This window comes from Homo sapiens, chromosome 7, assembly GCF_000001405.40.
Source record: "Homo sapiens chromosome 7, GRCh38.p14 Primary Assembly".
Taxonomy (NCBI): Eukaryota; Metazoa; Chordata; class Mammalia; order Primates; family Hominidae; genus Homo; species Homo sapiens.
The window spans coordinates 96140610-96157925 of record NC_000007.14 but is presented as its reverse complement, the minus strand read 5'-3'; the positions used below and the strand labels follow the sequence as shown (position 1 = coordinate 96157925).

Here is a 17316-nt window from a genome sequence, read left to right as displayed (position 1 = left end):
GCCATTGTTCTTGGAGTACTTAGAGAAAATGGGGCTGTACGTTAGAACTCTGGATTGTGTTGCCTTTCTAAAATATTTGATTTCTTAAAATTCTGTTTGTTTGTTTGTTTGTTTGTTTGTTTTCCAAGATAGAGGCTTGTTCTGTCGCCCAGGCTGGAGTGCAGTGGTGTAATCTTGGCTCACTGTAACCTCCGCCTCCTGGGTTCAAGCAATTCTGCCTCAGCCTCCCAAGTGGCCAAGACTACAGGCACGCACCACCATGCCCAGATAATTTTTGTATTTTTAGTAGAGAGAGGATTTTGCCGTGTCAGCCAGGCTGGTCTCCATTTCCTGACCTCAAGTGATCCACTTGCCTCAGCCTCCCAAAGTGCTGGGATTACAGGTGTGAGCCACGGCACCCAGCCCTTAAAAATCTGTTTTTAAAAAATAAATAGCTATATCACTTCCCTGTGCCAAACCAGAAGTGTCAACAATGAAGTCATTATGTAACATGGCAAGAGGGATTCGGGTGGCAAAACCGTAAGGAGGAGAAGAAGAAATCAAGCTTATAGAAGCATGTAGACACTGAGTGAAAGACGCAGTGATAGGAACCACAGTTTGGTTTTTTTGCAGACTAGCCCATTTCAGAGAAGGCGGTATTAGAAGAAAAAACCTATAATTTTACTGTGAGCCGTGAGGACCATTTCACATGAAAAAAAAACAGAGCATTTGGAAATAATGATGCTTCGTATCAGTAGAATGCTGTGCGTTTGAGAAGCTTGGCGCTTGGACTTCATGCTGACATGGTTGTAGTCACAGTCCTATTGCCCTTTCTGGTTGCTCTCAGCACTCCTGGATGCAAAGGTGAATTTATGAAGATCATGGACTTCCGATACAAATTACAGCAGCCAAAACTGTCATATGGAGATGTGAACTTAAGATTGTATTGGTAGATAGGTGAAGCACCCATTGCTCCTATCTTGAAATGACTATGCTATATTTAGACAAAACCTACATCAGTATAATTATTTTGCAAGCCCATTTGAAGAAAATTAAAACTGTCACTAGTTATATATTTTTGAGCCTAAAATATTTCTCACGGCTGGGCATGGTGTATCATGCCTGTAATCCCAGCACTTTGGTAGGCCGAGGCAGGTGGATCACTTGAGGTCAGGAATTTGAAACCAGCCTGGCCAACATGGTGAAACACTGTCTCTACTAAAAATACAAAAATTTGGGAGGCTGAGGCGGGCAGGTCATGAGGTTAGGAGATTGAGACCATCGTGGCTAACACAGTGAAACCCCGTCTCTACTAAAAACACAAAAAATTAGCCAGGCGCGGTGACGGGTGCCTGTATTCCCAGCTACTTGGGAGGCTGAGGCAGGAGAATGCTGTGAACCTGGGAGGCAGAGCTTGCAGTGAGCTAAGATCATGCCACTGCACTCCAGCCTGGGCGACAGACGGAGATTCTGTCTCAAAAAATTGGCTGGGCATGGTGGCGAGCGCCTGTAGTCCCAAGTACTTGGGAGGCTGAGGCACGAGAATCTCTTGAACCTGGGAGGCGAAGGTTACAGTGAGCTGAGTTTGCACTACTGCACTCCAGCCTGGGCGACAGAACAAGACTCTGTCTCCAAAATAAATAAATAAATAAAATATTTCTCAAGGATTCAGATTTGGGGATTTTACTGCCAAGTAGCCTGGCTTTCTCATTATTGATTAACCTACAAAGAAAAATTTGATATATCTGATGAAAATCAGTTATATTGTACCTACAAAAACATCTCTTCCATATTACTTGATGTATTTTAATGTCACTGAATCCATTGGTTTATCTTTATCTCTTAGAAGCTCTTAAAGTCACAGGAATTCTAGTCCATATGATCAGATTAACCAAAAATTCAGGCAGCTACTCCGTTCAAACAGGAAAGAAAAAACTGAAAATGAATTGTTGTATTGAATCTGCTTTTTCACAAGAGACAACTAGGCGTAATGGTTCTGAGCGTGGGTTAGAAATTGGGCAAGTCGCGTTCACATTCTTTTACTACCTTGAAGAGAAGTCTCTGCCTCCATCTCATCTCTAGAAAGATGGGAATAATATAGCTTGTGTCAGCATGATTGGGGGATTGAAGGAGATGATGTCTGTGAAGAGTTTAGCACAGTGCCTCCTACATCAGAAGTGCTTGACACGTGTCTGGCTCTTGCTTCTCCAGGAAGGAGAGGAGGGGAGAAGAGAGAGTTTGCAGGGCCGTAGTTATTCAAGTAGTTACAGCTATCTCTTCTTTCTGGTCACACTGCTGGGTAATTTGTTCTTGAAAAGTGTCTCAAGATGACTGCTCCCACTTAGTAGCTGGAAAATCACATCCTTCCAGAAAGGGATCTAGAGGGCAGACATGGGTGAAGTGTACATTGTTAGAGGGCTGACTGGAAATAATCAGTGCAGAGATCACTGTGGGCAGAGCCACAGCCTTCAGGTCCTATAAAGGGCAGAACGATAGGAATAATCTACTGCATAGGAAAACCAAAGAAAAGAAGGAGGACGAAAAACACTCTGGGGAGGAAAAAATAATTGGGGTTCACTACTGGGATATCTTTCCCTCTGCTAGAAGATCCTTCATACATAATGAATCACAGTTTGGAAATGGAGCCTTTGAAAAAAAATCCTTACACAACTGGTAAGAGAGAAGTCTCATACCAGCCACTGAATTTTTGCAGAAATTTGGGCCTCCCTCCGCAAGTGTACTTTCAGACTCAAATTCCTCCAGCATCCAGGACCTCTTGATTAACTATGTACTCTCAATAAAGAGAAAAAGATGAGACCTCTGGGAAGCAAGAATTGGTAGAAGCTGGGCCTGGTACAGTGGCTCACACCTGTCACCCCAGCACTTTGGGAGGCCAAGGTGGGTGGATCACTTGAGGCCAGGAGTTTGAGACCAGCCTGGGCAACATGGCGAAGCCTATCTCTACTAAAATTACAAAAAAACTAGCCAGGTATGGTGGCGTACACCTGTAATCCCAGCTACAGCAGGAGGCTGAGGCACGAGAATCACTTGAACCCAGGAGGCGGAGGTTACATTGAGCCAAGATTGTGCCACTGCACTCCAGCCTGGGTGACAGAGAGAGACTCTGTCTTAAAAAAAAAAAAAAGAAAAAGATGCTGAAATGTATCAAAACCAGCCTACTCGTCATCCTCTTTTAAAAGAAAAAGATGAGTAAACCATCGCATTACTCATTAGGATGTTACCAGATATGTGAGTTGGTCAGAGGGACTCCTAGCTACAAGTAGAAGGAGTCCACTCTACCATTGACTGTGTGCAAAGTAGCACATTTTATCTACCTTTTTAAGATACTCGGCCGGATGCAGTGGCTCACGCCTGTAATCCCAGCACTCTGGGGGGCTGAGGCAGGCAGATCACCTGAGGTCAGGAGTTCAAGACCATCCTGGCCAACTTAGTGAAACCCTGTCTCTGCTAAAAATACAAAAATTAGCCAGATGTCGTGGCACGCACCTGTAGTCCCAGCTACTTGGGAGACTGAGGCCTGAGAATCGCTTGAACCTGGGAGATGGAGTTTGCAGTGAGCCAAGATCATGTCACTACACTCCAGCCTGGGTAAGAGAGTGAGACTCTGTCTTAAAAAAAAAAAAAAAAAAAAGACACTCAGTGACTCTGTGACTCTACGTATTTGGATCTTTCCATTTATCTAGTCTTGTGCTAAACTTTAAAAATTTCTGACACTTTATAAAATGTGTGTAAATGTGTACTGATATAAGATCCTCTACACGATTTTTTATTCAGAATATTCCTGTCTTCAGACATCTTCAGGAAACCCTGTTGGGGTTTTGTTTAGGAGGATTGCTTTGAATTTAGATTAACTTAGGAAAAAGTTATAATATTTGACTGTTATAATCATTTTTAGGAAAATTTGCATTTTAAATTTATAGCCCAAGTGACGTATTTGCAACATTGAATCTAATGATACTTATTTCTCTTTCATTCAAATGTTTATGTGCCTTTAAAACAATACATTTTTTCTTCATTTTGATCCTATATATTTCATGTTAAGTTATTCTTTATTAATGCCACTTGTAAAAGAATAAAAATATGTAAGATTTCTTTTGGTGTACCAGTTCTATTGTTCTCCTCTAATAAAGATATATAATGTTTTTGAATGTCGGGTCCCCTTTTGAAAAATGCTACAAAAAGTTTGTTTACACTGGTGCTAGTATTCAATACTAATAGAGTGGGCAATAAAATGTTCCTCAGTTCCTGATAATAGCCTGGGTGAGAGTACACATGGCACTGAACTTAGTAATTTATCTTCTACAGTCGTGGGTGCACACAGTGACTCTTAATAGAGAACCCGCTGTGGTGCTGCCTGCAGCTCTGGGTCCCCTGCAGCCAGGTGCAGGTATGCAGCCCAGTGCAGATGTGCAGCCCTAAGCCCTGTTTAAACACATGGCCACCTGCTGTACCTTCTAACCTGTTTTGAGTTGAGGAACAGAATGTGTGAGCCTATGAACTCACCTCTGTGGTCATCAGCTGCTTCATCTTCTCTTCTGTGTTACAGATCACAGTAACTTAATCATAACTTCCTATGGAGAGCCAGAATATTATTTTACTATTGATTCTGAAGGGGTCTTTTGTTGCTGATGTGGTTTATGCATCAGAACTTTAGTTGTTCTTGTGCCAAATTCGATTCTGTTTGATTTTTTTAAATCTCCAAAGCATAAATAGTAAGGACAACTATGATTTGTCAGTTTCTGCTCTGTAACAAATTTATCCCCCAACTCTGTATGTCACTAAAGCAAATGCAAACTCTTCATGTTCTACCTTTCACTCCTCCATTCAGAACTTGTACTGTTATGCGTAAGCACAGCATAATTATCCCTAGTAGTTTTATCTTTTCACTCTCTTCCCCCTAGATATTTTCTCCTTAATTACCCTAAATGAATTGTCATTGTCTCTTGATTGCTCTCATAAACTACTGTCATTTTCTCACTTTCCCTTCCCCTGCAAGTAGACTACACAGCTCTCTCATTCCCCAGCATTCTCGTTCCAATCCTAGGTCACCCCATGTGCTGGACTTTGCCTCCCTGTGTCAGTAGACATTGTTGGTCCTTTCGCCTTCTCACTTCTGGAAGCCCTGTTCTTAACTCTTGTGCCTGGATTGCTGTACCACCGGTGTATAGCAGAGGTTTTTCATCACTTCATGGTCTCTCGCCACTTTCCATTTTTCTTCTTCATCCTCCCACCTTATCTAAACCCCTGCCTTCAGTTATATATGTGGAGTGATGCCCTCATCTGTGTCTCTCATCCCTCTTAACTCACCCTTCCACTGCCTTCTGAATGTGTCATTATTCGTCTTTCCAACACTTTGTTCCTATTACACAGCAAAAACTTGGATCCTTTCTTTGAGCTTACCCACTCTTTTTGCCCTATATTCAGCAGCCAAATCCTGTTGGTCTCTGTTGCATCCATTACCCAGCCACCTCTATTCAGTATAGATATGACTGTTCTAATTCTGGCCTTTTATCACTCACCTAGTCGGCTAACAACCTAATTGTGATCCCTGCCTCAGGCTCTGCCTCCCGGATGAGCCCTCTCCCCTCTGCTCCCTAGGCATCTTCCCAAGGCATAGATAATGCTCAGACCTCTACAGCTCCTAAGCTGTGTTTACCAGCTCTCCTGCTGCTACATAGTCGCACAGACCATCTCCAGAATGCAGCCTGTTCTAGGCAGCATCCTGGACCTTCCATGAGTTGGCTCCAGCAATCTTATTTTCAGCCACCTTCTTTCATACCCCTTCTCCATGCCATCTAGAGCAAAAGGCTGCCATGATAAGAACTGTAAGTGTGCCGCTGGCATCCAGCCACTTGAGCTTGGAATCCAAGGTTCACCTTCCTAGCTGCATGACTCCAAGCATGTTAAATAGCCTCCTTTACTTTTTGTAGCCTCAGTTTCTTCACTGAAACCAGGATTTTATTTATTTATTTATTTTTATTGAGACGGAGTCTTGCTTTGTCACTCAGGCTGGAGTGCAGTGGCACAATCTTGGCTCACTGCAACCTCCGCTGCCCGGGATCAAGTGATTCTCCTGCCTCAGCCTCCTGAGTAGCTGGGATTACAGGCACCTGCCACCATGTCCGGCTAATTTTTTTGTATTTTTAGTAGAGATGGGGTTTAGCCATGTTGGCCAGCCTGGTCTCAAACTCCTGACCTCAGGTGATCCACCTGCCTTGACCTCCCAAAGTGCTGGGATTACAGGCATGAGTCACTGCACCCGACCTATTATTTATCTTATTACTTACCTTATAATATTATGAAGACCAAAAAACAATTTTTTTTTTTTTGAGACAGAATCTCCCTCTGTCGCTCAGGCTGGAGTGCAGTGGCACGATCCTGGCTCACTGAAATCTCCGCCTCCCGAGTTCAAGTGATTCTTCTGCCTCAGCCTCCTGAGTAGCTGGGATTACAGGTGTGCGTCACCATGCCCAGCTAATTTTGTGTATTTAGTAGAGATGGAGTTTCACCATATTAGCCAGGCTTATCCTGAACTCCTGACCTCAGGTGATCCACCTGCCTTGGTCTCCCAAAGTGCTGGGATTACAGGTGTGAGCCACCACACCTGGCCCAAGAATTCTTATAGAACTCTTACCACAATCCCTGGTACTTAGTAAGCTAGAGGAGCCTCAATAAATGCTAGAGGATGATGATGTTGATCTCATCATAATTATCATCCTTATTAAAATTTCGCTTGGCAGAAGTGATGCTGGGTATATTACCCATATAAGTGTGATATGCCCTTGTCACTGTTCCTTTGTGCCTTTCTCTGCCTGGACTACCAAAATCCTAATCACACTGTAGTCCCCAGCTAACATGTTACCTTCTCACTGGCTTAATCACCTCCCAGCCAGGAGAGCTCTTGCCCTCCTTTGAACTGTCATATCAGTTTGTCTGGACCTTGGATCTTATCATATAATTATCTGTTCTCATGTCCCATTTTCTGTATTTATGAGGCATATAGTTACTGAACTCCATTGAAAATCCTTTCCTCTGCTTGCTGGCTATATAGCCCTGGGTACGTTGCTATATTAGTTTGCTAGTGCTACCAAAACAAAATACCACAAACTAGGTGGCTTAAACAACAGAAAATTTATATTCTCACATTTCTAGAATCTGAAAGTTCAAGATCAAGGTGTTGGCAGGGTTGGTTTCTTCTGAGGTCTCTCTCTTTGGCTTGTAGATAGCCGCTTTTTCCCTGTGTCTTCTCTTTTGTGTCCTACATGTCTGTGTCTCAGTTTTCTCTTCTTGTAACAAACCAGTTGGATGGGATTACGTCCCACCCTAAAGACCTCTTTTTAACTTAATTTCTCTTTTAAAGGCCCTGTTTCCAACTATAGTCACATTCTGAAATATTTGAGAGTTAGGACTTCAACTATGACTTTTGGTAGAACACAGTTCAGCCCATAACAGTTGCTTTAATCTTTCTGTGCTTCAATTTCCTCTTATGTAAAATCTGCAAAAAGTACCTCTTGAGTGGACTGAAAATATGTAATATATGCAAAGCAACACCTTAATACCCCATAATAGATGTTTAATGAATATTCATGACTTCTACCCTTACTACTTCAAGCTTCTTGAGAATGAGAATAAAGCATCTTGTGTCCTTGCAGTTCTAGGACAAACTTTGAATTGCTTATAAATATTTGGTGAATGAAAAATCAAATAGCAGAAGTGAGTCTATAATAATTGTATGCATTTCTCTTTCTCTCTTAGATGGATCCAGATACTAGATGATAACTAAGATTTCAATAACAAAGAGTATACCAGGAAACATGTAGAAAAGTCAGTGTTACCGCTGTAAATATAATATGCCACACTGAGCCAGTTCAGTATGGAATATTTTCCCATGTCCTACTTGCCACAGACTCCAGTAAGTCATAGGGAAATGATTTGTGACAAAATTGCACACACACAAAAAAAACAGTATCTTCACACAGCCAGAGCTTTCAAGTGATGAGGGACGCAAAGACATTGTGCACAATAGGTGTTCCTGTCCATTGTCTGCCGATTCAGCTATCTTTGATCTCTGCAAAAGAGGAACCATGGGTATGGTACTGTGAATGCATAATAGACCAGGAATTGGAAGAGCGGCACGCAGTGTGCTGCTCAGTGATCAAGTCGTGGAGAGACCCAGACACCATGCATCTGATGATAAGCATCTTCTCTTGGTGCCTTGGAGTCTCTCATTTCCTTCCAGTTCGACTCCAAAGGGCCTGTTTCATCTTCAGCACCTTTACAATGTGCCACTTTGAGTCTGTAGGTTCTTTCTTTCAGAGGCCACCACAGATAATGGGTACATCATTATGTTTTCTTGATATCACTACATTCTTTCTTCCCCGTGCATCTGCCTCCTGCAGCTCTCTGAAGTGGATTTGACTCCTCATCATCCCTAGTGATAACTAACTCTGCTTTAAAAGAATTGTTATCTGTTGGTTGGCTTGGAGTCAGGGAGTTGAGTGTAAGTTCTTGTTTTATTGTATATAATGCTAGCAACTTTTACCAGTGTTAGTAAAGATAAGAGATAATAAGACAATTCCGTACCTAAGAATTGTACCCTTTCATAACAGCACCACTTGGATATGTAGAAAGAGTTTGTTGTGAGATCAGATGTAAAACAAATAAAAGTTATTCGTGAAATGATATGGAAGACTGGGATTAGAAACTGTGGCATTCAAGAAGCCAGTTAAGCTGATTCTCAGAATTGACAGAGATTCTAGAGATGGTGTAGTGCAGATGGTGTAGTGCAGGGATTCTCAGCCTCACTGCACATGGTAATCTCATAGGAAAATTTTAGCAAGGACAGATGCAGAAATTCTTATTAAACTGTCAGGACTGAAGTCCAGAGGTCACTATATTTTAAAAAGGTCTGCAAGTGATTGTAACATGCATCTATGGAGGAAAACATCAGCGTAGGAGAAAAAGGGAAAGAAACCAACTGGAGTAAAGGCTCTGTCTTGAGCACTGTGCTGGCTCCTGTACATTCTCCATCTCTTTTTATCTTCATAGTAAGTGAGATGGTTTGACAAATAGGGAGACCGAAGCTCTGCCTTCATGTGGGACACTCAACTGCCTCCTTCCCTGCTGTTGGCAGTGCTTGGATGAATATGCATTGTATGCCTCTTCTCTCTTCCAAGAAGACTGGTTTCTCTGATTACTTTGCATTTTACCCTGGATAGAGATGGTCTTACCCTCTTTTGAGCTTCAAAAAATCAGGCTTCAGGCTAATTCCAACCTGGTGAATCTTTCTCAGCAATTCTACCCCCATAAAACAATCTTTACATTTTAAATTTCTATTCATTTTTCTAACTATTCATAAGATTTTCGTATGAAGAGTTCTGGTTCAGAAACACAGAGAAAATCCTTACCGTGCCTCTCACATGGTTACTTGGTTAGGTGTGTTTCAACTCATCATTCTGCCAACCGTAAATAGCTGAGTCCATATCACATGGGAAATGTAGGTGCAAATTCACAAAACACTCACGGGCTGTAAACAACCAGGGAGTTGTTCTTCTCATGGACCTGCAGGTTGCAGCAGCAGCATCTGAGCAAAACAGAGCTGTTCTGAGCAGTAGGGCGGGGAGCAGCACGTCTTTGTGTGGACCAGAATGCACCAGCCTGTGGGTGTATCATCTCACACTCTACTTCCTAGACTAAGGCCCTTTCTTGGGCCTTTCAGTGAATCCAACCCAGGTTGGTATTTTGTGTTGTCCCCCAACCCAAACAAAAAATTCATTTGCACTTAAGGAAGAACAAGAGTGACTTGATTAAGGTATCAAGTTGGTAAAAATGGAAAAACAATTTGATTTAGAGAGTTAATGAACGAACATCTTTCTTTGATTCTTTTCATTAACATTACACATATTAGGTAAACTGTGTATAGGTGTTTATTTTTCTTTATGGAAGTCACACATGATCTATATAGAAAAAATTTCAAATACATCAAAAAAAAAAAAGGAAAAGAAAGATACTTGTAATCCCACCACTTCAGAAGCACCACTTTGGTGTATTTCTTCCACATGGTGGTAGGGGATGGCAGGGGGAAATGTGTACCAGTATTTTAAACATATGAGCATTTTTACTTAAAAGTATATATTGAACATTTTTCACTGTTGACTGCATAGTATCTCCATGCATGAACATACTCAAGTTCATTTAACCCATCCCTTACCATTAGATATTTATGTTGTTTCTAATTTTTCTTTCCAGCTTTTATAAATAATACTTCAAAGGCCATCCTTGTAGCTAGTTCTAATTAGTACAGTATAGTTTGGATGATATAAAAATTTCATATATGTGTGACAAGGAATAACAAGTTGAAGTACAGTAAGAAAGAATGTAATTGCTTGTGATAAATATAGGCTTAGCTTCAAAATAGCTAGCTTAAAATTTCCCTTATAGTGTACTTTAAAGATTTCACTGATGATCTTGGAGGTGAGGCATCTAGCCATTGCTGGAATGAAATAACACACGATGTTCAAAGTTTGGTTGGTAATTGACTTAGTGCATATTTTTGCTACTTTCATATACCACTTATCTCATATGAAAAGAGCAATTCTGTACACAAGTAATACATAAACAAAAATTTTAAGAATATGTAACTCCATAAAATGAGATTTGATGATTGACTTGAGTTTCTAAGAGAAAAAAATAATAACTTTCATCTAAGTTTACGTGTTCGCTGGCAGTTTTTGAATCGTTGCCAGAATCATGAAATTCATCATTCAAGAGCCTTTGTCCTCCTAGTCCCCGTTCTGTTCTGTGTCTCCTCATTTGGATACGTTCTGTGTCTCCTCATTTGGATACGTTCTGTGTCTCCTCATTTGGATACGAATGCTTTTCATTTTATTACTGCCTTTGTGCCCTTGGCTTTGAGTCCTGTGGTGGCAGTTGTTTGTGCTTCAAGGAGCATTTGTAATTTCAGTGTGAGGACTTGGGGAGGTCAACAGAAATCTCTGGTCTTTGCCCTCCTTCAGCCTCCACATTAAGGACATAGGGCTTCTTCCTAGGCAGTAACTGTATTTTGATTCATACTTGTAATCCCTAACCGTTTTGATTGATGGGACAAGGGCTGAAACTACATTCTCTTGAGGATAGAATATTTTTATCCTTGAGAATAATCATTCATCTCTTCCTGACCCACCTTACCATTTCTTTGCTTTGATCCTAAATCTTTTTTGTTCTTTTTAGGCTGGAGGCTCCCAGGTGATTTTCACAAATCCTTTAGAAATCGTCAAGATCCGTTTGCAAGTGGCAGGAGAAATCACCACTGGTCCTCGAGTCAGTGCTCTGTCTGTCGTGCGGGACCTGGGGTTTTTTGGGATCTACAAGGTAACTTTTTTTTTTTTTTAGTCATTTATTTGATTACTTTCTCATCTCCTAATGCAGAAACTATTCTTCAACATGAAATCCATTTTTTTTTGCATTTCTACACCTGGAGAAGATGTTCTACCCAAGCTGCAGAGGCACCTTCATGCCAATTAGAAGGAGGTGCCCCTTCCTGCCATCTGCCAAAAAACTATCCTCATCAATACACAAATCTAGGATGACTATGATAGGAATCGTGCCCTCTAGAGTTGTTCAGTGCAGCTCTTTGCAGCAACACTGGCTAGAATTTTATTTGGATTTGTTATTGATACGCTGAGTTCAGTTCAAGGAGAAACCTGTATCATAATTTATTTTCTGATCCTATGCATATGGTCCGATCCATGTTTTCTCTATATATGTATGCCTTGTCTTAATTATTATAAATCTTAATCATTTTTCATTTAGAAAATGTTTTTTCAGAATGATTACAAAACCAAACTTCTAGATGATTCTTGAAATTTTTTATTCATACTGCTCTACCAAAAAGTTATAATGGAATTTACTAGAACTGTCTGCCTATATGCCAACCTATAAGGCTTTATCAAACATAATGTATACACAAGTTTTCAATGAAGAATTTTTTAAAAAAACATTTTACGCTAGCTTGACTAAGTAAACCTTTAGGGATATGGGAGAAAAATAAAATGTCTACTTAAGATAGTTTCATTTATTTACACAGAAATGTATACAGTCACATTATATAAAATTAATACTGCTTTGTTTCTATAAACACATATCAAGAAATATTAAAATTATTCATGAATTTTGAATCAGCATCTTGAGCTCCATTTAACCCACTTTTTAGGTCATCTGTTAGCATGGTTTTGCAGAATACATTGTCTTCATTTTTATCCCAAGCTTTGTAATTTGAAGCATTTTTGACTTTTATGTATGATATTGTTCCTGCAAATTTTATCCCATAGACACATAATATTAAGACAGTCAATTGCTTTTTTCCTATTCCCAGTTAATCCTGAATGGATATAACTGGTCCCCATAATGTAACAACTTACCATATTGCTAGAGTAAACTTGAAATGACTTGTTTTGACATTTGACACAGTATTTGTGAGATCCTCCTCCCAGAAATACTTTTTTACTCTTTTTCTTTCTAACCTGAGTTTTGCAAGTGACCTCAGTAAACATCCAGAATTAGTAATAATTGTGGCTGTCTCAGGAGAATCTCCCTTCCCCGAATGGTACTCTGCTTCTCCAGGTCAAGTGATTGGAAAGAGTACTCCATGATCTGAGACTTTGTGAAGATTGAATATAAAGTGATGCCCTCTTTTCTGGGATTAATTTTAGCAGGGGAAAATTTTGCCTTATATTTAGGCATATGTGGTACTTAGGAATAAACCTGCTGTTTTTTTAAGTAGAACTTAAAATGCTCAATCTGTGATTCTACAATATAACACAATGTTCTATAGCTATTTTGCTTACCAATTTATTACCCAGCTGTAAAAAATAAACACTGTTGTCATGAGGCATAGCATTGATCAATTTGAAGAAAAATCATCTTTTCTAAATTTTTAGGCTCTTGCAGTCTGTAATATGATGTAGCAGCATGTCATTTTGACAAGATGCCAGGAGTCTTTCAATGGGTTGTCTGGTAAAAAGCACTTAGGTACTGTGGCAGTGACTGTTATTGAAATGTCTAGATGAGTAAAATGGTAGGAACTTGTTTGCTGATACAGAAACAGAGACTGTTAAACTACCTGCAAATGATACAATACTGGGACTTAGTGCTTTTCATCTTCACATTATTTAATAATCTTAATCCCCTTTAACACTTCTTGGAAGTAGTTGGTATCCTGGTTTTGTAGTTCAGGTGAATAGAGGCTGCCAACCATGGTATCTGAGCTGAAATTGAGGCTCAGAAGTTTCTTGTTTCCACTTTTGTGCTAAAATTGCTTTCCTGAAATGAGCAGGATTGCTCAAGTTTGAGCAAGAGAACTCTCCCATATGAAGTTAGTTTAATTACTAGTCTAGTAGTTTAATCTAGTTCAGAAGCATTCCACAGGGCTTGGTGCTCCCTTCTAAAATGCTGTTTTTGGTGTACTGGTAATTACCAAGAAAATCAGTAATGCTTTGAGCTTCTGGAACCTTGATTTTGTTGCAAGAAAGTGACCTAGTAATCTCTATCTTCCTGTTGGTCATCAGTATCAGCTACATTCAGAGACCCGGGAGTCAGGATTTCATTCAGCAGATGTTGACCTCTGTGGTTTGGTCTCCTTTCAGTCTGATTAGCTCTTGTATTACAAGTCTGGTTGGTCCTCATTTATATATTCCCAGCATTCTGTCTTGGGCTTTGTTTCATGTGAACCTCTCTTCTCCAGCCCCACCCCACTTCACCTTTACGTGGTCAGACATCACAGCAGGTTAAGATCCATCTTTCTAGGGAGCATCACAGCATTAGCATTGCTTTGTAGTTTAATGTGTTTTTGTTTCAGGATAGCACTTTTTAGTAATAAAGCTTTTCTGTTTCTAGTCCTGGTTGGCTAGAAAAATGCAAATGACTAGGGGTGACCTCACACAGTACTTTTAAACCTGGTATGTGTCCCTCCAGGTGGGTCTTTAAAAAGAAGAACCACTGTCCTAGATTTAGTTGAGACAGGTAATCTTTCTCCTTCCCTCTGTTCTTTTGTTTCTGTTGTTAACATTACAATGCCAGACCCAAGAAGGGTGAGTGGTTGGCTCTGTCTGTGTGTTTAGGCCTGCTGAGCTTTAACCTTACCTAAATTGGAAAATCAGGCTTTCTGTTTTTCTTCTGTATTGACTTGCAAAATAAGCAAACTATTCTGACTTCCCAGTAAGTGGCAATTAGAATACTTGTTTTAGAAATACATTTGCAACTGAAAAAAAGTGGAAAATGGTAAACATTTTGCATTCCTAAAGTAAGAAATAGTTTAGCACAAATATAGTAAACAATGTAAATAAAGCCCCCCTCTAAAATGCTAACATTTAGAGAGATTTAGTTATAGCACAGAGGATGTAGGTGACTGAAGTGAAGGCAGCATAATTAATTGCCTTTGAAAGAGCTATTTGAATGTAATGTAGCTAAGAAAACAAATCTGCAATGTCTACTTCTTTTTAAAAAGAATTATGAGAATGTATTTCCCTTTCCCTGCATAACTTCTGTTTTATTGCATAAACCCCTGGAGCATAAAAATAAAAGTCAAATAAACTTAACATAGCAAAAAAAGTTGTATCCATCTACTTTTGAACATTACCTTTTCCGTAGGAGCTGTCAGAGCGTTAATGAGGGGACAAATTATACTTTAGGAATGGAATGAAACTTATCATTTAACAGTAAATGGCAGCACAGCTAATTAGGCCAAAAAGACGCTTCGTTAGGAAGCAGTGGAACTGTCCATGTCTCTTTTTGAGTACAAAACATGGTCAGTGAAGCAATGACAGCTGGGATCCATCAAGCACTGTTGAAAAGTTTTCAAATTCTATAATCACAAATTAAACCTTGATTCTACCTTGGAGGGTCACTTAGGAATATGGACTCTGTCTGCTGTGTTCTAATCAAAGGCGTTGTTTTTTTCCACTGCATTTGACAGTATTCAAAGATATTTTTATCCATATACATAAATGTTGTATACATGTGTTCATCTATAATGTGTGTATAAATGATTCATTGGAGCTATTGTTCATAAACTCAGAAAGCAAGTTATGATATATCAGTACATTCTTATTTATTCTGCCAGTTATCTCAAAGAGAGATTGATTTTTTTAGTTTAAAAAGTAAAATATAATTTATATTTCAAAAAAATCAAGTAATTTAGAAAGGTGTATGAAGAAAAGTAAAATTATCTCTCTACCCTTTACTGCTCCATTCTCTTCAAAGGATAGCCACTGCTGAAGATTTTATATTAATATATCCTTAAAAAAAGAAAAACTTTCTGCTCAGATTAGTATTTCTCTTTCAAAAATTTTACGAATATCAGCATCAGAAAAGTATGTATGTTTTCCATAGCAAAGACATAGAATCACCCTAGGTTACCATTAACAGGAGATTGGATAAGGAAAATGTGGAAACTACACACAATGGAGTACTAGACAACCATAAAAAAGAACTAAATTATATCCTTTGCAGCAACATGGATGCAGCTGCAGGCCACTATCCTAAGCAAATCAATGCAGAAACAGAAAACCAGATATCACATTTTCACTTGTAAGTTGGAGCTGAACCTTGGGTACACATGAGCACAAAGACACCAACAGGAGGAAGGGAAAGAGGAAAGGAGGAAAGGGCTGAAAAGCTTCCTTTCAGGTACTCTGCTCAGTACCTAGCTGACAGGATTAATAGAAGCCCAAGCCTCAGCATCATGCAATATATCCTTGTAACAAACCTGTATGTGTACCCCCTGAATCTAAAATTAAAATGAAAGGAGAATATTTTACTTTTCTTAAGTAAAATTGTGTTTTAACACAAATAGAATCTTTTCAAACACAATATATCTTAAAGCTCTTTCCTCATTTTATTTAATAACTATGGAAATTTTTTTGTTTAACTGTTTGCTGTTGATGAATATGTTTCTAGTTTGAAGATATATCAAGCAATGCCATGGTGATCATCCCTATGTATATTTTGACATACTTTTGTGATTGCTTAGAAAAGATAAATTCCTAGCATTGAAGTTGTTAGGTCAAAGGACATGTGCACTTTTTAGTGTTAATAGATTTTATCCAGTTTTTTTCAGTTTATCCCTTTTTTCTTGGTAACATATAAGTACTCATAAGATTAATTCTTCAGTTTATCATCTTTTAAAAACTTGTATTTTTACGTGCTCACAGCCGGACCTGAAGGAAGCAGTTGTTTAGTCTACTTTGAGAACACATTGCCATTCTAGTTTTCTGATACCCAGGGACATGCTGTGGTTTTACAACCAGCCTAGTGGTAGTTCTCACCCATCCATTTCTACTTTTATCCTTCATCTGAGCATCTGTGAAAGCCTCTTCAGGGCTTTCTTTATTTTGTCTCTTGACTCTCCTAAATCCACTGTTGCCACAGCAGCCAAAGTGATCCATTTAAAATGTAAATCATATTAATTCACTCACTCAACACACTCATTGAGAGCTTACTGTGTGCCAGGCACTGTTCCAGCCTTTAGGAGATGGCTGTTTAAAGCCAAGTCCCTGCTCACAGTATATTGGGTAGGACAGGGCAGCTATCAAGAGAACAAAGATATGGCCGAGCATGGTGCCTTACGTCTGTAATCTCAGTATTTCAGGAGGCCAGGGCAATCTCTTAATGCCAGGAATTCAAGACTAGCCTAGGCAGCATAGCAAGACACCATCCCTCCAAAAATAAATAAATATAAGTTAGCGGGGCATGGTGGTACACATCTGTAGTCCCAGCTACTTGGGAGGCTGAGGCAGGAGAATCACTTGAACCCAGGAGTTCGAGGCTGCGGTGAGCTATATGATTGCACCACCACACTCTAGCCCTAGCAACAGAGTGAGATGCTGTGTCTAAAAAAAAAAAAAAAAAAGAAAGAAAAAAGAAAGGAATGCGCAAAATTAATATGACATCAGCTGGTGCTACCGTGAAGAAAAAGAAGCTGATTTTAAAAATGAGCAAAGGACTAGAATAGATATTTCTCCAAAGAGGACATACCAATGGCCAACACGTATGTATGTGAAAAAAGGATGTAAAAAATTTTCAACATCACTAATCATCAGGGAAATGCAAATCATAACTACAATGAGATAGCACTTCATACCTGTTAGGATAGCTATTAGCAAAAAAAAAAAAAAACAAAAGATAAGCAATGGTGAGGTTGTGGAGAAATTGAAATCTTTGGTGGTAGGCCAGGCGCGGTGCCTGACGCCTGTAATCCCAGCACTGTGGGAGACCGATGCGGGCAGATCACGAGGTCAGGAGATCAAGACCATCCTGGCT

At 39.6% G+C, this 17316-nt stretch overlaps 1 protein-coding gene across 8 annotated transcripts in view, besides 2 other annotated features; it reads left to right on the top strand.

Annotated features, from left to right (window-relative positions):
• Positions 1–17316, top strand: part of SLC25A13 (solute carrier family 25 member 13) — a 201879-nt gene that overhangs the window by 164173 nt on the left and 20390 nt on the right. For 6 of the 8 annotated variants that reach the window (NR_027662.2, NM_014251.3, NM_001160210.2 and 3 more), the window contains one exon: positions 11230–11370. Coding sequence is in view for 5 of the 8 variants with exons in the window: in NM_014251.3 (NP_055066.1) it covers positions 11230–11370 (141 nt within the window). In the remaining 3 variants the exon portion in view is untranslated. Of the gene's footprint in view, positions 1–11229; positions 11371–17316 lie in introns of those variants that run through there. The other 2 variants (XM_047419714.1, XM_047419713.1) reach the window with 1 other exon arrangement.
• Positions 13201–14035: an enhancer, noted in NCBI's record as "OCT4-NANOG-H3K27ac hESC enhancer chr7:95773203-95774037 (GRCh37/hg19 assembly coordinates)". NCBI's record gives its function as "activates a minimal SCP1, AML or CMV promoter by ChIP-STARR-seq in naive and primed H9 embryonic stem cells {active_cell/tissue: H9 hESC(naive and primed)}" and the evidence as "EXISTENCE:reporter gene assay evidence [ECO:0000049][PMID:30033119]".
• Positions 14036–14871: an enhancer, noted in NCBI's record as "OCT4-NANOG-H3K27ac hESC enhancer chr7:95772367-95773202 (GRCh37/hg19 assembly coordinates)". NCBI's record gives its function as "activates a minimal SCP1, AML or CMV promoter by ChIP-STARR-seq in naive and primed H9 embryonic stem cells {active_cell/tissue: H9 hESC(naive and primed)}" and the evidence as "EXISTENCE:reporter gene assay evidence [ECO:0000049][PMID:30033119]".